This window comes from Homo sapiens, chromosome X, assembly GCF_000001405.40.
Source record: "Homo sapiens chromosome X, GRCh38.p14 Primary Assembly".
NCBI lineage: Eukaryota > Metazoa > Chordata > Mammalia > Primates > Hominidae > Homo > Homo sapiens.
This window is the reverse complement of record NC_000023.11, coordinates 63,665,698-63,685,967: the sequence shown is the minus strand read 5'-3', so window position 1 is coordinate 63,685,967 and position 20,270 is coordinate 63,665,698. Positions and strand designations below refer to the sequence as shown.

The following is a 20,270-nucleotide window of genomic DNA, read 5'->3' as shown; positions in this document are numbered from 1 at the left end:
GAGTATCTTAATTTTATTGAAATCCAGTTTATCGCTTTATTTTATTTTATGGGTCATACTTTTTGTTTCCTACTTTCTTTGCCTATCTCAAAATCATAACGGTTTTCTACTTTTTTAAAAATAGAAGTTATATAGTTTTATTTTTTACATTTAGGCCTATGATCCCTTTTGTGGTAATTTTTATATATGGCACAAAATACAGATCAAGGTTAATTGGTTTCTGTATGGATATTTGTTAAAAAATACTGATTCCCCTATTGAATTGCCTGGGCACCTTTGTCAAAAATCAATTAAGCATATATGTGCAGATCTATTTTTAGGTATACTCTTCTGTTCTAGTGATCTATATGACTATTCTTGTAATAGTAACCCACTTTCTTGATTAATATAGGTTCATAGCAAGTCTTTAAATCAGATAGCATAACTCCTCCAACTTAGTTCTTTTTCAAAACAATTTTAGCTATTTTAGGTTATTTGTATTTCTATATAAATTTAAGAATAATCTTGCCAAATTTTACCAAAAACAAGCAAACAAAAACCCTATCAGTGTTTTGGTTGGGATTGCATTAAATCTGTGGATCAGTTTTGGGAACATTGATATGATGAGTCTTCAAATCCATGAACATTTAACTGTTTATTTCGATTTTTTTGTGATTTCTCCCAGGATTGTTTTTTAGTTTTCATTGTATGATTTTGACCTTTTAAAATTTGATTGTTTTAAAAAATATTTAAGGTATAAATTTAAGATGTACAATGTGATGTTTTGATATAAATGATGAAGTGATGACTACAGTCAAACAGATTAACATATCATCTCACATAGTTACTTTTTTGTGGTAATAGTATCTAAAATTTACTCTCTTAGCAAATTTCCAGTGTATAATACAATAATGTTGACTCTAGTCCCCATGCTGTAGGTTAGATCTCTAGACTTTTCCTGTGTAACTACAACTTTGTGCCCTTTGACTTATATCTTCCCATTTTCTCCCACCCCCTCACCTCTGGTCACCACCATCCTAATCTGTTTCTATGTATTCATTTTTTTTTTCCTTTTGATTCCACATATAAGTGAAATCATGCAGTAGTTTTCTTTCTGTGACTGGATTATTTCATGTAGCATAATGTCCTCTAGGTTCCTCCATGTTGTGACAAATGACATAATCTCCTTCCCTCCTTCTTTTTAAAGTCTGAATAATATTCTATTCTGTGTCTCTGTATGTATATGTAATATATATATAAATAAATTAAAAATAGAGGTAATTTATTAAAATATAGGCAACATATTACATATACATATACACCCGACAGTTTCTTTACCCATTTATCCATTAATGGACACTTTGTTTGCTTCCACATCTTGGCTATTGTTAATAGTACTGCAATGAACATGGGAGTGCAGATATCTTTACAAGGTAGTGAGTGCATTTCCTTTGGGCATATACTCAAAAGAGGGATTACTGGATAATTTGATAATTCTATTTTTGATTTCTTTGGGAACATCTTAAAGGTATTATTTTCCACAGTGGCTGCTGTACCAATATATATTCCTACTAACAGTGTACAAGGGTCTCCTTTTCTCTAAACCCTTGTCAACACTTGTTATGTCTTATCTTTTTGATAATACCCATCCTAATAGATGCTAGGTTATTTCTCATTGTGGTTTTGATATGCATTTTCCTGATGATTAATGATGTTGAGCATCATCGTATACCTGTTGGCTATTTTTATGTCTTTTTTGGAGGAATGTCTATTCAAATTCTTTGCTCATTTCTTAATTAGTTTATTTGTTTATTTGTTTTTTTTTGCTGTGAAGTGATGTGAGTTCCTTATATATTTTGAATATTAACCACTTTATATATTTTATATATATTAACCACTTTATGTATATTTTGAATATTAACCACTTTACAGTTTGCAAATATTTTCACTCAGTCTATAGGCTACCTTTGCATGTTGTTGACTTTTTTTTTCTGCATAGCAGCTTTTTAATTTGATGCAGTCCCACTTGTTTCTTTTTGCTTTTGTTGCCTGTGCTTTTGGTGTCATATAAAAAAGCACAGCAGTAGTGCTTTTAGTAGTTTTATTATTTCAGCTCTTATGTTTCAGTCTCTTATGCATTTTGAGTTGATTTTTGTGTATGGTCTAAAATATGGGCCCAATTTTGTTCTTTTGCATATAGATATCCAGTTTTTCCAACAACATTTATTGAAGAGACTATACGTTCCCCATTGTGTCCTGTTGGTGCTCTTGTCAAAAATTAGTTCACTATATTTGCTTCGGTTTATTTCTGGACTCTCTATTCTATTACATTGGTATATCTGTTTTTATGCTAGTACCATACTGTTTTGATTTCCATAGTTTTCTAATATTGTTTGAAATCAAAGAGTGTGATGCCTCCAGATTTATTTTTATTTCTCAGAGTTGCTTTGGCTATCAAGGGTCTAGTTTGGTTCCATAGAAATTTTATATATGTTTTTGTCTATTTCCATGAAAAATGCCATTGGAATTTAGATAGGGGTTGTGTTGAATCTCTATATCACTTTGAGTAGTAGGGACATTTTAACAATATTGGTTCTTCCAATCCTTGCACATGGGAAATCTTTCTATTTCTTTGTGTCTTCTTCAGTTTCTTTCATCAGGGTGTTTTGGTTTTCTGTGCACAGATCTTTCACCTTCTTGAATAAATGTATTCCTTAAGTATTTCATTCTTTTTGATGGTATCATAAATATGATTTTTTAAAATTTCTTTTTTTGATACATCATTATAGGTATAAAGAGTGCAACTGATTTTTGTACACTGATTTTTTTTTTGTATCCTGCATCTTTACTGAATTCACTTTTTCTAACAGGTTTTTTTCTTTTTAATTTTTGGAGGGAGTCTTTTGGGCTTTCTACATATATAATCATCTTATCTCCAAATAGGGCTAGTTTACTTCTGATCCAATTTGGATGCATTTTATTTATTTTTCTTATCTGATTGCCATGGTTAGTATTTCTAGTACTATTTTGAATAAAATTGGCAAGGGTGGGCATCCTTGTCTTATACCAGATCTTAGAGGAAAAGCTTTCCATTTTTCACCATTGATTATGATGTTACCTGTGGGCATCTCATAAATGGCCTTTCTTATGCTGAGGAAATTTTTAATATTAATACCTAATTTGTGAAGATATTTTATCCTGAAAGGATGTTGAACTTTGTGAAAGCTTTTTCCACATCTATTGAAATAACCGTGTGGTTTTTAAATTATTCCTTTTGCTAATGTAATGTATCATAATAATTGATTTGGATTTGTTAAGCCATACTTGCATCCCAGGGATAAATCCCACTTGGTCATGATGTATGATCTTTTTGATATGTTACTGAATTGGGTTAGCTACTATTTTATTGAGAATCTTTATACCTATGATCATTAGTGATACTGGCTTGTAGTTTTCTTTTCTTCTTTTTTTTTTTTGACAGAGTCTCGCTCTGTCACCCAGGCTGGAGTGCAGTGGCGCAATGTCGGCTCACTGCAAGCTCCACCTCCTGGGTTCACGCCATTCTCCTGCCTCGGCCTCCCAAGTAGCTGGGACTACAGGCGCCCGCCACCACGCCTGGCTAATTTTTTTGTATTTTTATTAGAGACGGGGTTTCACCATGTTAGCCAGGATGGTCTCGATCTCCTGACCTTGTGATCTGCCCACCTCGGCCTCCCAAAGTGCTAGGATTATAGGCGTGAGCCACAGCGCCTGGCCCTTTTCTTGTATTTCTGTCTGACTTTAGAATCATTTGGGAGTATTCCCTTTAGTTCTTTTATTTATTTATTTATTTATTTATTTATTTATTTATTTATTGAAGAGTTTAAGAGGGATTGCTACTAATTCTTATCTGGGTATTTGGTAGAATTCAGCTGTGAAGCCATCTGGTCCTATGATCTTTTGTTGTTAGGAGATTTTAAATGACTACTTCAATCTCTTTATTTGTTAATGTTCAGGCTCTCTATTTCTTCTTGATTCAATCTTGGTAGGTTTTATATTTCTAGGAATATATTCATTTCCTCTGGTGTTTCCAAGTTGTTGTCATATAATTGTTCATAATAGTCCCTTGTAATCCTTTTCATCTCTGAGACATCTTTTGTAATATCTTCATGTTCATTTCTAATTTTATTTACCTATATTCTTTTTCTCTAAAAACCAAGTCTTAGTTTTGTTGATTTTTTTCCCTAAGTTTTTCTGTTCTCTGATTTATATCTGCTTTGATCTTTTATTTTTTTCCTTCTGCTATCTTTGAGTTTACTTTGTTCTTCTTTTTCTAGTTCCTTGAGGTGGAATATCAGATTGTTTATTTCAGATTTTTTTTAATGCTATCAACGCCCCTCTTAGAACTTTTTTTGCTGCATCCCAAAGGATTTGGTATGTTGTGCTTTCAATTTCATTTGTCTCAAGATATTTTTTAATTTCCCTTTTGATTTTTTCTTTGACCCATTTGTTATTCAGGGATATGTTGTTTAATTTCTACTGATTTAAGAATGTTCTAGTTTTCTTCCTGTTACTGACTTGTAGTTTTATATCATCATGACCAGAAAAGATACTTGATATGATGTTGATCTTCTTAAATTTGCTAAGACTTATTTTGTGGTATAGCATGTGGTCTATTCTGGACAGTATTCCATGTGTGCTTTAGAAGAATTTGTGTGATAGCCTGTCTGCGTGGGTCAGCTTTGGTAACATGTGGTAGTGAGACTAGAATCCCTAGTTTGGGACCCTAGGGCTGTTTGCAGGTACATGCATGGTAGCTGTGCTGGGTCACTGGGCCAGAGCATCCAAGGAGGTAGTACTTGCTTAAGTACCTAGAGAATGCAAAGGCTCCTGTGCTGAGTCCCTTTGCCAAGGCACCTGTGGTAGGAGTAGCTCAGGCAGCTCTGGGCATGGGGGAGGGAAAGCTCTGGTGGATCAGGGATCTGGAGAATGTGAAAGCTGTTGGCCTACATCACCCCTTCCCACTGGGCTATAGTAACCACAGCAGCAGTTGGGCAGCTCTGGGTGGCTCCAGGAAGTAGAGAAGAAGAAGGGACATGGCTCAGGCATGTTTTTTGTTGTTGTTGTTGTTGTTGTTGTTGTTTGTTTGTTTGTTTTTTCTCCTAAAACTCAAAAGGAAGAAAAAACAACCCATGGACCCTTAGCAGTATAAGCTGCAGGGCGTCTGCTGATACTATACTAGCAGTTGGTTTTCTCAGCAGGAAAAGCTGAAAAAGCTTCTGGGGTCTGTGACTGTGAACACTGAAGAATCTTGAGAGGTAAAATCTACAGGAGGTACCCAGTGGCTATGAGGGCTATTGAGGTCCTTGACAGAGAGGCCTACTGGGGCCCTGTGCCAAAGAGGCCACGGCAGATCACTGCGACTCCTGCTACTTTGCTGATACTGATATAACCAATCCCTATTCTTTGCTCTCTGCTGTTTCCAGACATCTAGGCTATATCTGTCTTTTCAGAGATCTGGGTGGGATGAAACTGAAGCTGGTCATTAGGGCAGTGTCCCATAAAGCTGGGGAAGCTGGTTGTACACTCCTGTCTCCTCCCTGTATGTAGGACACAAGATCCAAGATCCAAGTTGCTGTTTCATAATGAGCAGTACCAGCTATGGGGACGGGGTGATGCAAGCAAAATGAAACTGTTTTTCCTACTCGTTTTGTGTATTTGTTTTCTGACTTTTTCTTTCACTATATTGCTGTGGCTTCTTAAGTGGACCCCTAAGCTTTTCCAGAATTATTTTTTGTTCATGGATAGCTACCAAATTGTTGTTGTTTGCTGAAGAAAGGAAGGCGATATTTCCTACTCTGCCATCTTACTGACATCCTCTCCTAAAAGTTGATTTCTAAGTATTTAAAATTTTTTCGGCTGCCATTGTAAGTGGTATTTTAAAATGTCAATTTCCTATAGTCTATTACTATTACACAGGAATACGGTTGATTTTTGTACATTGACTTTGTGTCCTGACACATAACCAAATTCACTAATTGGTTCCAGTATTTTTTTTGTAGATTTCTTAGGATTTTATGCATATACAATTATGTCATCTCTGAAAAAAAGAGTTTAATTTCTTCTTTTTTCAGTCTATATTCTGTCTATTTCCTTTTTTATCTTATTTCACTGGCCGGGATATACAGTACGGTGTTAACTAGAAATGGTGAGAACAGGCATCTTTGTCTTGTTTTGATCTTAGGGGCAAGCATTCAATATTTTACCAAGTAATTAGCTTAACGTTTTTCATGGGTGTCCTTTATTACATTGTGGTAGTGTCTTTCTATTTCTAGTTTGCTGATGTCTTTGTCATAAATTTATTTTCTCAAATGCTTATTCAGCATTATTGAAACGATCATGTAATTTTTCTCCTTTAATCTGTCAATGTGGTAAATTACATTGGGATAAGTCTGTCCTGATCATGGTATATTATTCTTTTTATGTGCTATTTTGCTTGTTTTTCAACCCTTATATAACAACTCTATCTTGATTTTTTGTTGATCAGTTTCTATTGCCTATTGTTTCTCTTGGGTTTTATAAATATTTTCTATTCTAATGTATCAGGTTATCTTTTATTAAGTACTTGTCAATATATAATAAAAATTATAGAGTTTTTTTAAAACTTTACTTGGAATTAATTTCAAACTTATGGAAAGGTTGAAAAATAAGAACCATACAAAAAATACCCAGATTCCCCTGTTGTTAACATTTTACCATTTTGTCTTATCATTTGAGTGTGCTCTCCCTCTCTCTCCTGACTCTCTCCTCTTCCCCTCTCTTTATGTACATATTTATATGTCCATACATACATATACACACACTCATACATTTTTTTCTCAGCCATTAGTGTTTTAACTTGCATACATCTTAGATTCCTTACCTCTAAACACTTCATCACATTGTGTTTCCTTAGGGACATTTTATGGAGATAATATCAGGCTCTGGATTGTGTGATTCCTTCAAACAGATATTTATTTATATTTTTAGCTTTTCCAGCTACTCTCAGTGGCAGGGTTTGCCTGCAACAACTTAGTCTGTCATTGCCAGAAGTAGAGTCACTGATCTCTTGCTTTTTGTGATCCAGTCCCAGAGTTTTATTTCCATGCTGTGTTTTACTCTTATTAGGGCCAGTGTTCCCTTATTACCCTTCTTTTACAGAATGTCCCTACTATTCCTATGTACTCATTTTTCTATAAGAAATTTACAGTCAGTTTGTCTTGTTACTGAATAATTTGTTTTGATATTTATTATTAAATTATGAATCAATTTAAGAATAATTGACTCATTATCATTTTAATATTTCTGCCTAAGAATATGATCTGTCTTTCCATTACTTCAAGACTTCTTTTGGGGTCCTTGGTAGACTTTTCCTTTCCTTTTTTTCTTTTCCCACAGCAAGATGGATTCTGGATATACTCTGAGTATTGTAACAACCACCTGGATGCTTGCATGGAGCTCTCCAAACTGATGAAGGACAGCCGCTACCAGCACTTCTTTGAGGCCTGTCGCCTCTTGCAGCAGATGATTGACATTGCTATCGATGGTTTCCTTTTGACTCCAGTGCAGAAGATCTGCAAGTATCCCTTACAGTTGGCTGAGCTCCTAAAGTATACTGCCCAAGACCACAGGTAAGGGATCGAGGGAGTCAGGAGTGAATGAGGGAACTTCCTCTATCTGTTGGTTCTCATTGAGAATACATGTCCTTTTGCCCTTTCTGAGCTTCTGTTAACTTATCTGCAAAACAGGATGATACATTCTTGATTGCCTCATAGCCAACAGGGTACAGAAGGCAGAGCTATCACTGGCTTTGTTACTCACACAAAAGGAGGGTCCTTTGCCACTATATTTGGGTTAAAATCTGAAATCTGCCTAGGGCTCCAGAACCACTAAAGCATATAAGATATGATTTGTTAGAGAAGCAGCATCAATCCAAAAACGAACCCAAAGATGTAAACCAAACCAACTGGCCCACACCCATGGCTCATGCATCTGGGTCTGAAAGTTAGCCCCAAGGAGACCAAGCAATGGAGCTAAATCATACTTGTGGACTGATAATATTCACTAGGTAAATTATATATGGCATAATTCATCTTAAAAGTTCCAGAAAAAAGTTTTTAAGCATAGCTCAAAGCTATGTTAGTTTCTTAGGCCAAAACAACCTCAGAGCTTTTTGGGGGTTTGGTGGGCACCAAAAAGATAGGACATTCGCCTGGGATTTGCCATTTCTGTACACTTTCACCTTGTGACTGGAACTCCTGCTTCAAAGTCCTCTTGCCATCTAGGTCCCTGATTCCCTCTCCTCTCACCCCTTGCGCTCCAGAGTGACAGTAGAGTAGCTCAGGCAGTGTCAGGCGACATCAATTTCTGCCCTTTCTCAGAGTGACCCGTTGGGCCCAGCACAACTCCCACGACATAGACAACCCCTTTTGGCAGGTCTCAGGAATCTGTATTAAGATGATGGCTCCTGCCATGCATGTCAAGAGTAGCTCGGATTTGAAGGCAACTAAAGGCTGATGCCAGCTTGGAAGCTTAGTAAGATAGGTGTTCAGATAGGTAGGGCTGAAATACAGGCAGTCAGAATGGCCCCTGAGGGAGAAGATTAGATGAAGAATGATAAATAGAGAAGAATACTGACTTTGCTTACAGATGATTGATATAATTCCCTACCCTACCTTCCTTAAGTTGATGAGAATGAAGACTGCATGTAAGAGGGAGGCTAGCTGACATGTCTGGAAGTAGAAAATCTTTGTTCTGTTGTTCTCCCCAATAAGAGGCTGGGCCCAGACCTCATCTGAGGGCTTTGACCAGGGTTAGGCTGGACCACAGCTATTCCTTTCTTCTCCTGCCGACTGCTAAAACTAGTAGGACAGGTTAGAGATGGGCACATTCCCCCTCTAGCCATTTTGAGAAAGGCAGCCAGCTAAAGATGGCAAAAATAGGCAGTATGGGACACTGACAGTGAGGAATCCATGACTGAGTAGTCTTGGTGTAGAGGAAATGAACATTGTCATGCCAGGACTGCCCAGTAGAACTTTCTGCAACAATGCAAATAGTCTATATTTGTGTTATTCAATATAGTAGTTACCCACCACATGTGACTACTTGAGTACTAAGAAACATAGCTAGTGCAACTGAGGAACTAAATTTTAAATTTTACTTAATTTTGATTAAATATGGCTAATAGCTACCATGTTGGACAGTACAGCTCTGTGCTTTACTTCCAAGAAAGTGGTTTAGAGCACTGATCTCCTCAAATCAGAGAAAGGAAAGGTACAGGGGCAGAAAATGGGTCCAAAGAGCAGGAGCACTTACTTATGTTAGCAGCTTCTGTGCTGCAATCTTCCCTTCTGTCACCACTCTACCTCCTTCTAAGTGTCAGGCTCAGACATCTTGCCAAGGAGAAACTTCGGTGATGTCACAGAGCCCAAAAGATCCCCATACATTGGAGCAACTAACTGTAAAAGAATGAAATGTAACAGAAACAAATGTAGAGTGTTTCCATTGGGTCTAAGATAAGAAATAAATAGCTCACGGACAGGCTGAGAGAGATACAGCTTCTAGAGTGTGTTTTGAAGAGACTTAGGAAGTGTTAGTTGGCCATAAGCTCAATATGGGTCAGCAATGGGATCCAGAAGAAAAACTGATAATAGCTAACATTCACTGAGGCTCAGAATAAAGACTTTTCTAACATATTTGTCTTGAGACAGAATAGACTGGTTAGGAAGTATAGTGAAAAGCCTTTCACTGGAGGTGATAATGTAACATTGTTTGAGAGCCATGGCTCTGACAGGTGTGCAGATCACAGATTGGAGTGAGGGATGTGAACTAGGAGGAGGTACTACGTAGGATCTGCCCTGGCAATTAGAAGTCCCTTTCCTCTGCCTTTCTTTGGTCCATCAACCCACTATTCAATGTTGTGGGTGTGCAGTTGTGCAGTTGTGCAAAGATGTGCGGTTGTTGCACATCTATTTTTTTCTCCTTCCTTTTTTAAAAAATGGTACTGAGAGATTAAGCAGACTAGTGACCACAAGGCATTTTCAGTTTCTCTAAAGAAAGGTGTTAACACTGAACTGTAAGGCATCCTCTTGTCTTCTCAGTTTATTTTTGCCCCCACTGAATGGCTGAGATCTCACTATCAATCTGCCTTTCCCAAGAGCCATTTGATTGCAAATCAGAAAAGAACAGCAGAAAAAAACTGGATAGGATATGTAACTCTCAACACGTCTGCTATCCAGAGTCCCAGGATGTGGGGCCAAGGGTTACACGTCTGAGACTAGGGGTTTTAAGAGGCATCCCATGTGATGGCTCTACTACGGAAATGTTTGATTTGTAATAATAGTACTGCTAACATTTGTTATATGCCAAGAGTAAAATAGTTTACATGGATGATTGTATTTAATTTATGAAACCTTCAATAAACTATACTTTTCCCCATTTTACAGATGAGGAAATTGAGTCAATGAGAGAGGGAGTGAGGCTTGCCAAAGGCCATACTGCTAGTCAGTGAGAAAAACTGGCATTTGATCCCACAAAGTCTGGCTTCAGACTTTATGCTCTTACCCACTGTGCTACATTCTGTTTCTATATTGTGCAAAAGCAAACGTGAGGATATTTCAGAGTGATTTTGGGCAGAAGCTCCATAGAAATAGATGATGGAAGAGATGATAAGGTGGTCTATACTGTGTCATGTGTGAGGCTCCCTTCTTGGTCCTTGGCTGGCTGTATCAGATAGGACACAAAAAAAGTGATGTAACAAAATAGTGGTCCATTTGTCTCTCATGTAAAAGAAGTATGTATTCTGAAGTTTATGACTGGTATGGTGGCCTCATGGTCATCAGAAACATGAGCACCCTACAGCTATCTACTATCCTATACCTAGGGTATTGACCTTGTCCTTATGGTCCAAGATGGCTACCAGAGGTTCGGCCATCACATCAACATTCCAAGCATCAGGATTGAGTAAAGGCTAAAGAAGCGTATGCTCTCTACCTTAAAGGTGATTTCTCAGAAGGCCTACCTGATAGAGCAGGAGCACCGTCATCTTGGACAAACACTGCCACTTCAAGTTCCAGCTCCCTTTCTAGCCTCATGCATTTCAAGGAAATCACTTCTTTTCTAACTACAAGCAGCCAGAAAGAGCAGACAGTAAGAGAGCTCAGGCACAGAAGGAGGTAGGGGGGAAAGTCTCTTGAGTAACTGCCAAACTTCACCCTCATACAATGGGCCCCAGTAAAACAGTGGGCGTTAATAAACACATTCCTTTTCCTTCAGGTGCACTAAGATAGAGAAGATGAAAGCAGACTCAGGGGATATGCCTGCAGCTGCAAAAAGATGTATGGGAACAGACACACAACTCTCTCTTCCCAGATAAGCACAACAAAGAGGCGCAAAAGCAGTCTATGCCTCTGATAAAGTCTCCCACCCTGAATCCTTAAAAACTCTTAGTCTGTAAGAAAGTGTGGCTCTGACCTAACTCGGCCAGCCGCTCCTCTCAGGTTTATTTAAAATCAACCTGTCCCTGTTGACTGAAAAGCCATCCTTCATGTTTCTCTCCTCTTTCTTTAATTCTTACACTACGCAACACTTCTATTTACATATCAGTGTACAAAACTTACTTGCATAGTCATTTTTGCTGAAACAAAAGATAGAAAATGTAGTCTTTAGGTGGTGTGGGTTCCCATCTGAAAATCAGGACTCTGTTACTAAGGAGGTAGAGGAGAGTGGATGTTAAGATTGGCACCTAGCACATTGGTTCTTTGGCACATTGGTTGGTTCAACTTGCACTCTTTTGTTTTCACAGTGACTACAGGTATGTGGCAGCTGCTTTGGCTGTCATGAGAAATGTGACTCAGCAGATCAACGAACGCAAGCGACGTTTAGAGAATATTGACAAGATTGCTCAGTGGCAGGCTTCTGTCCTAGACTGGGAGGTAGGAAACTTACCAACCAGGGTATTGGGAAATCTGAATAGCTTGGCAAAAGCTTCCCATCTTAGCTAAGGACAGGTGAAGAGAAATTACATTTGAAGAGCAACAGTAAGGATTTAGATTAGACTCAAGGTAAAATTTCTTGCTAATGAGAAGTGTTGGATACTTGAATAACTTTCTAAGAAGCTTGGAGAAATTTTTGTGATGATACCTCATTAAGAAATGAAAGGTTCATTTCTTCAGGTATTGCCAAGGAACAATTAGGGTTGATTCAGTAGCCTTTCAAAGCTCTTTCTGGATTTATGACCAACAGATTCACACTTAGATAAGAAATAGTATATACTAATTTACTTCCAGACACAGAATACGAGGTTGGTTCTCCTGTTCCCAACCATGCAGGACAGCCAACATACTTTTTTTTTTATCGGTGATACCACCTCACCCTAGCACATCTATTAGGTCTCTCTATTAGGCCTGTACACTATAGGCCACAACCATCATCCCTGCCAAATCCACAGTTTTCACATCTGTTTTTAAAATAATCCCTGATTATTTCATTGCAGACAGCCATGACTTCTCTGAATTCTGAAAGACCTTCCCTTCCTAGATGCCCACCAAAAGTATCAGGAGTAATGACATTTCACATATGTCTTGCAGGCCCAGGTTGTGCAATCTGATAGTCTGCTGGCTAAAATAACCAAGATAGGAGAGGCTGGACGTGCTACTAGGGAGGGATTAGCAATCTTAAGCCTTGTGGTCACAATATAGAGGTAGGGTCTGCTCCCTATTCCACTGACCTCAACTCAAGTGTCATTTTCAGTGATTAAGAGGTAGTATTTCTCTTAATACTTAAAGTATTTTAGCCCGTTCCAAGGGAACCAAGCATCATCCTCACAAACAGCTGCTTAACCAAGGCCCAGAAAAAAGTCACTTTCCTTTTATTCTGCTACCTCTGTCCTACCTTAATGTAGATTGCTGAAAAAGACCACAATTCTGATCAGCTGACATCCTTTTGGGCTATATTTGAAGGATAATGTTCCCATATAAGTAGAACAGCACTTTGATTTGCAGAGAAAGGAATTTGTCTAGATGAAGAGACCCTCATTCTCTTAAGCAGAAGCCAGCACTGGGCCAGACTTACTAGAAAATTGTGGGTCCTTTTTTCCTTGTGTTGGCATTGCTTTGGCCATTTGCCTGATTAAAGGCAGAGAGCTGGACCAAATGACTTCTAGCAAGCCCATCAACTCTAAGACACTCTAAAATTAAGGTGGATTAGCTGGCCTTATTCTCTCTCGTTGGCAGGGTTTTTTGTAAGAGAAGGTGCCCAGCAGCAGTTGTCTTCCTATTCCCTGGAGCATCTCCCCAACTTCCCAATGCCTAGAAGACTTTCTGATTCCCCTGTGTGCTCTGGGACATCAGTCCTTGGAGCAGGAGCCATGGGGAACCAAAAATAGCATGAAATTACCTGGCCTACTCAGGGAGCTTCAGTAGCACCAAGCTCAATAACACTGAGCTATGATTTAAACACTCAGCATCTCAGAAGGAATTTCCTGCATGTATGTCTGAATGGGGCCACAAAAACACAGTTCTAACAGTGTCTGCCTCCTTTATTAGCCTGATTGATTGGTACTCTAATCTCATGTAAGCCCACACATCCCTTGTACGCTCCTGCTTGGTGAAGCCTTTCTTCATCTAAATTGACATCCTACTTCATTCAGGCTGCTATAACAAAATACCATAGACTGGGTGGCTTATAAACAACAGAAATTTATTTCTCATAATTGTGGAAGCTGGGAAGTCCAAGATCAAGGAACCAGTAGATTCAGTGCCTGGTGAGGGCCCTCTTCATAGACTGTTGTCTTCTCATTGTAACCTCACATGGCAGAAAGGATGAGAGAACTCTTTGGGGTCTCTTTTATGAATGCTATTCCCATTTAATTCATGACTGCCTCATTCTCATGACCATCATCCCCCAAGGCCTTACCTCCAAATACCATCACAGTAGAGATTATGTTTCAACATGTGAATTTTATGGGGATACAAACATTCAGCCTATAGCAATTTGTAAGAAGAAAAATTCTTCATGGTCTTCTTGTCAGACTGAGGTCACTGTGGAACTTGCCAGTTCCAGCGAAGTTGTCCTCTAGGAAGTCTTTTCTCTAGTAAAGCCTGATGGATATATTTCAAAGGCCAAGCCTAAAGTTTCTGTCATATTTGCCATACCTGTGTTAAAGACTTCTAGAATGTCAGAATCACCAAGGCTCTTAGAGGACTCCCCCTACAACCCTGACGATTCTTGTGTGTATACACATGCACATATGCACATGTACACATACTCTCACACACTTACTCTCAAACACCTTGCAATGATGGTGAAAGACAGAGAAGCAGAGAGAGGTTTATTTCCTACCAAGGCCACACAGCAAGTCAGTGACAAAGCTGGAACTTGAATCTAGTCCCCTGATTCCTTGTGTGGTATTGTTTTCAGTAAGGTACCACATATTCCTTCAACCTTCTGCCTCTCACAGCCCAATTGCTGTTCTTTGTGATATTTCAGCGACTTGCTTTTTGTATGTAGTAAAGAGTTTATATTTAAATAAGACAGTGAGACTACCTTGGGGAGGTCATCCAAATCCCAGTCAGGTGGTGGGTGAGTGCTGGGGAGTCTCCCCAAGAAAGCAATGAGACATGGATGCTCCATGGCTTGATGATGGTTAGGATTGGTGGCCCAATTTCACAGGTTCCCTGGTATAGGTTCTTTGTGCATTCCACCTGCCCAAGAAGTTGTCTAGGCAAGGAGAGACATTCTGCCAGATTGCCGAGGACTGCTGTGAACAGACCGTGCAAATCAAGAAAAAGATGCCATATTTTGCTGTCTCTGCCACCCCCCTTGTCTCCCAGATGTTTGAACAAACAGAGTGGCTGTCAAAAGCATCTGCATGATAATTTCAGCTTCATTTGTCAAATGAAAAAGAGGAGTCATAGGGGAAACCTTCAGAGCTTAATCTCCCTTGAAGAGGAATTTGGAGGGTAGCATGCAGGCAATTAGTGTCTGCTCAATAGATCAGAGTGTCTGGCTAGAGAGCAGGAAGCCCTGCATTATATCAAGGCCTGACCCTTCTCTTAGCTTATTCCGTGAACATTCTTGGTCTCTTTGCCCAACTCTGGTTATTATCCCTGCCCTCTACCATTCTATAGGGACTAGAGTTCCTGAAGTAACTTTCCTTTTACCCCACCCCCCAGGGCTCCTGAAAATCAAATGGATGAGTAAAAGTGTCAGTCATCTCTCTACTAATCAATACATTAGAGCAGTATGCGGGAGCAGCAGGGAGAATAATCTGTTCCCAGGGACTGCAGTTTCTGGGAAATTTCTATTTCTAATTTCCATGATGCTGAGGTTTGGTTGAGCTGTCACTTTGCCACCTTGCACACTCATTTAATCCACTTGAAAACAAGGGAAAGGTAACATATCCTGGATAGCTTCTTTTTAATCTTTTTTTTTTTCTGGAGATTTGTAGCAGGAACCTAACATTGTAGCTCATATTTGGGAGCTTGATTGTGTGTGGTTGTAATTTCCTCTTTGTGGGATCCCTCTCCTCCCAGCCTGGTTGTGTAATACCCAAGGACCTGTTCCACTTTGCTATTTGATGACTGAATCCAAAGAAGTTGGAGGAAACAAGAAAACCCAACATGATGAAGGCAGCAAAAGCATCTACTTAAAAGCTAAAGTGGCTTGATGAGGCATACTCCTGGGACAAGAAGATCAAATGTAGGGCTAGATGGATTTGTTACTCCTCTGCCTTCCTGTCAGTAGGCAGCATTGAAAATAAACTAGTTAAAAAGTATGGCATTCCCCTTGTCCTTTCCCTGGATCTGCTCAGATTACAGCCCCACATCAATTGGCCTATAATTAGAATGGGGTGAAATCAGGCAGAATGGGGTGAATTAGAATTAGAATGGGGTGAGGCCTCTTCGCTCGGGCTCTGACCCCAAGGAAGGAAGGTAGATAAGCTGGCAAGAAAGCTTTGGGTAGTTTTTGGTGGCCACTGTTCATTCCACACCTATTGATTTAGTTGTCAAACAGTATTTATTGAGTATTTAAATATCAAGTACTCTGTGTCAGACCTTATTCTAGGTTCTGCAAAGACATCAGTGAACATGACAAAGTTTCCACTCTCATTGATTTATATTCCAGTAGGGAAAAGAGGCAACAAACAAACATATATCATCAGGTAGATGGGCCTCTGAAGAAAAATAAAGTAGGATAACAGGTTAGGGAGTAATGTGGATACTACCTGAGGAAGTAACAGTTAAGAACAGACCTGAAGGAGAGGAAGGAGCAAACCATGTGGTTTTCTTGGGGCACAGAATTCCAGACAGAGGGGAAAACAAACACGAAGACCCTGAAATATAGGAGTGTGTGCTAAAGGAACAACACGGAAGCCAGTGTTGTTACTCTACCCAGAGTAGAGTAAGTGAGTGAGAGAGTGGGAGCAAATGAAGTTAGGGAGGTGACTGGAGGTCAGATCCTGTCTTCATAAGACTGACTGTTAGTTTGAGTGAGATGGGAGCCACTGGAGGGTTTTTGAGCAAATACGTGAAATTATGAGACTTATGTTTTGAACATTTCCCCTCATATGCCAGGCCCTATGCTGGGCAATGAGGATATTGAGATCAATGAGATGTGGCCTTGAACATCTAGTGCGGACAAACATATTCCAGCAGAGGGAACAGTGTGAGCAAAATCCTGGAGGGAGTGAACAGATCCAAAGGCCCACGGTTGGGGATTTTTGGAAGGAGTTGTACTTTTGGGGGCAAGACAAAGAGATGTGTTATATAAGTGGAGCAGAGGAAGCAAGGGTGAGATCTCTAAACAATGAGAGGGCTGTCTCCTTTCCATGAACTCATTTGACGCTCTCAAACAGCCATGTGAAGTGGGTCAAACAGGAACTGTTTTAATATTCCCCCTCTACAAATGAGGAAACAGATGGCGAGAGTTTAAGCTAGTTTCTAACTCAAGAGTGAGTTGGTAGCAGCATTGGACTCAGAGCCCAGGTCTTTTGAGATTCTCACCTTAGAAATCTTCCATGGCATCTGGTTGTTCCCCTGGGTTGGTGACAGTAGGAGGAGATTGGGTGGGGGCCATCATTCTAATGTGGTTTGGTGGATAAGAGCATAGGCTTTGGAGGGCTTCTGACCTAGGTTCTGCCCCTTTGGGCAAATTACTTCCAATTTCTTTGACCCTGGTTTTGGGGTAATAACAAAACATCACTTACTGGGTTGCTATATTACTAGGAGACAGGATAGGTATGGAAACTGGGGCACACAGTAATAGTCAAGAAAATAAGTATCACTTATGTTGAGCTTATAGTGTGATGTGTACCTTCTAGGCACTTTATATGTTTTAATTTAAATAATCCTCACAACACCCAAATGAAGTTGGTACTGTTATTATCCCCATGTTAATGATGAGGCAACTGAGTTATAGAGAGACTACGTGTGTTGCTCAAGGTTAGTCAGCTTGGTGAGCATAGAGGAGTATTATTTTAATTTTTTTTCTAATTGGTGGAGTTACATGTTGCAAGTAATTAAAATATAATTGATGCTGGGCACCGTGGCTAACATCTGTAATTCCAGCACTTTGGGAGGCTGAGGTCGGTGGATCGCTTGAGGTCAGGAGTTTGAGACCAGCCTGGCCAACATAGCAAAAAATCATCTCTACTAAAAATATAAAAATTAGCTGGGCATGGTGTCACACACATGCCTGTAATGCCAGCTACTTGGGAGGCTGAGACACAAGTATCGCTTGAGGCCAGGAGGCAGAGTTTGCAGTGAGCCGAGATCGTGCCACTATACTGCAGCCTGGGCAACAGAGGGAGACTCTGTCTCAAAAAAGAAAAAAAAAAATGTAGAATTGAGATGCCCCTGGCTGGTGGAGTGGATGGACCAGATAATACTGGGTAGCCCTCCTGGTCGTATCATCCACATTTAGTAAATTGTATATTTAAAAGTCATTCTGACCATCTTCTTATGGCATTGGCTCTCTTTTATGGCTTTATTGGACTTCATACATATTCAAAGTGGACTGTAGCACATCTTCCTAGCCTGCATCAGGGTGGGAACCTCTCTCAGCTTCCCATCCCTCCAGCAGGAAATCGCTGTACTGCTCCCTAACCTGGTGGCTTTCTTTCCCAGTATCAGGCCTCCAGAGGTTCTGTGCTAGTATGTCAGCCCCTCTAGAAGGAGTGTTTACCTAGTTCCTGGATAATATTGAGGCTAAGTCGGGAGCCTAAAGTTGAAGCAGTATTTCTAAGCTTTTTTTCGGCAGTGGGGTGGGGGGTTCTATTATTAGAAAATAATTCTACTGAGTTCCCCCTTTCCTTCCCATCCTTTAGACTGGGGAAAAAAATGGTATGCTCGAATACACCATTTCTAGATGCCCCACTCTCTGGCCTACTACCCTGCCTGATTTGTGTTTGCCTCTGATTATTTCTGGGAGGTATAAAGGTCTCCATCTCTAACCTTGCCTTGAAGCTTTTGGGTGAAAGGCTGAGATCTTAGCATCAAGGTATCAGCCCTATCATGAAGATCATCCTCATACTACATCTGGGAAAACTGACACCTAGAGAGAGAGGAAGGAACGGGTTCTCCAATGCCTTTTTGGCCTAAAGACAGTATAATATAGTACAAGGAGTGAGCATATTCTATGGAGCCCCAGAGGTTGGAGTTGGGTCATGGACCTGTAGCTAACTAGTTGGGCAACTTTGGCTTATCACTTGATCTTTTTGTACCTCTAACTGTAAAATGGGAGCAAGAATATCTACTTCCCAGGGCTATCGCGAGTCTCAGATAAGATAGATTGAAAATATCTGGCGCACTGTCTGACTCATATAGGTGCTCAGGAAATATTAATTCTTCTGTGTCTTGGGACACTACTCTTTGTCCCTATCTTCACATAGGCCCTGGAATACTCACCCCTGTGCCCACAACTTCGGTGTTGGTTTGCCTTGTGTTTCATGAGTTTTGAGCATACCTGCATTCGTCTCCTCCATGAAGACATAAGCTCCTTGAGGACAGGGGCCAGGTCTACCTTGACATCTGACACACACCTGCAACATACTTCTGACCTATCAGAGTTGCCATAAAGAAGGAGTAGGACTTGGAAACTCTGTAGAATTGAATTAGCTAGGACTTAGGTGTCTTGGTGCCTATTTGTGTCAGACTCTTTGTAGCAAGGAGGATAAGTAGTTCTAGGCTTTCTGGATAACAGACCAAGGAATCATGTGGCAGTTAAGTTTCTTATTCAATCAGTAGATTTTAGTGAACTGAGAGGAGAAGGAAAAACAATTATAAGAGGGGAGTGGGTTCTTTTTCTCTCCCTCTGTTATCATCTTCCTTCTTGTCCTCCCGTTTCCTTCTACTCATGTGGGAGGCAGTGAGATTAAGGCCTGTTCTTCAAGTATTAGAAAGAGACTGAGGGACCAGAGCAGGGATTGAGAGACTGGGACAGAAAAAGAGATTTATAGAGAAGAGAGATGGAGAAATATATATATGTGTGTGTGTGTGTGTGTGTGTGTGTGTGTGTGTATGTATATATATATGTGTGTATGTGTGTGTGTGTGTATATATATATATATAAAGAAAATCTCTCTCTCTCTCTTTCTCCACACACATATATATGTGTGTATGTAGAGAGAGAGAGAGAGAGAGAGAGGCAGACACAGAGAGAGACAGACAGACAGAGAACTTATAGGACCAGAGGGTAACTGGTGTAGAAAAGCTGTAGCAGTCCCGGGTGGCAGGGCACATTTGGCCTTGGGGTGAATAAGAAAATGGGTCTTCCTAGCTCACAGAGCTGTAAAGCTTTTTGAGGAGTCCCAGGAGTCCCTCTCTCCCTCTGTCTCTACCAGGCCCTTTCTGGCCTCTTCCTATCCCAGTCTATGCCCAGCCTTGGGTGCCTCCAGGCAGGTGATGGTGCCATCCTTCTGCCTGGCTGCCTCTCATCATCACATGTCCTTCCCAGGGCGAGGACATCCTAGACAGGAGCTCGGAGCTGATCTACACTGGGGAGATGGCCTGGATCTACCAGCCCTACGGCCGCAACCAGCAGCGGGTCTTCTTCCTGTTTGACCACCAGATGGTCCTCTGCAAGAAGGTAACCCTGCCCCCTTCTTCCCTGAGGGAGATGGGTACCTAACAGGGTACCGGACCCTCCTCTTCATCATCCCCAGGCTCCCAACAAAGTGGGCAAATACTGATGGGGGGAAAACAGACAGGAGATTGGCAGCAATTCTGTATCAGGAACACTAATGTGGCATGAATGTCACAGGCAGGGTTGGCTTG

At 40.2% G+C, this 20,270-nt stretch overlaps 1 protein-coding gene and 1 long non-coding RNA gene across 28 annotated transcripts in view; both read left to right on the top strand.

The window, feature by feature from the left end:
* The window catches only part of ARHGEF9 (Cdc42 guanine nucleotide exchange factor 9), a 150,248-nt gene that overhangs the window by 99,247 nt on the left and 30,731 nt on the right, over positions 1-20,270 (top strand). For 22 of the 27 annotated variants that reach the window (NM_001173479.2, NM_001353921.2, NM_001369043.1 and 19 more), the window contains 3 exons: positions 7,396-7,628; positions 11,801-11,930; positions 19,951-20,082. In NM_001173479.2, coding sequence (NP_001166950.1) covers positions 7,396-7,628; positions 11,801-11,930; positions 19,951-20,082 — 495 coding nt within the window. The remainder of the gene's footprint in view (positions 1-7,395; positions 7,629-11,800; positions 11,931-19,950; positions 20,083-20,270) is intronic. The other 5 variants (NM_001353922.2, NM_001369041.1, NM_001369045.1 and 2 more) reach the window with 1 other exon arrangement.
* On the top strand, positions 14,466-15,772 carry ARHGEF9-IT1 (ARHGEF9 intronic transcript 1). Its single transcript, NR_138419.1, has 2 exons — positions 14,466-14,719; positions 15,627-15,772. It is a non-coding gene; the product is annotated as an ARHGEF9 intronic transcript 1 (long non-coding RNA).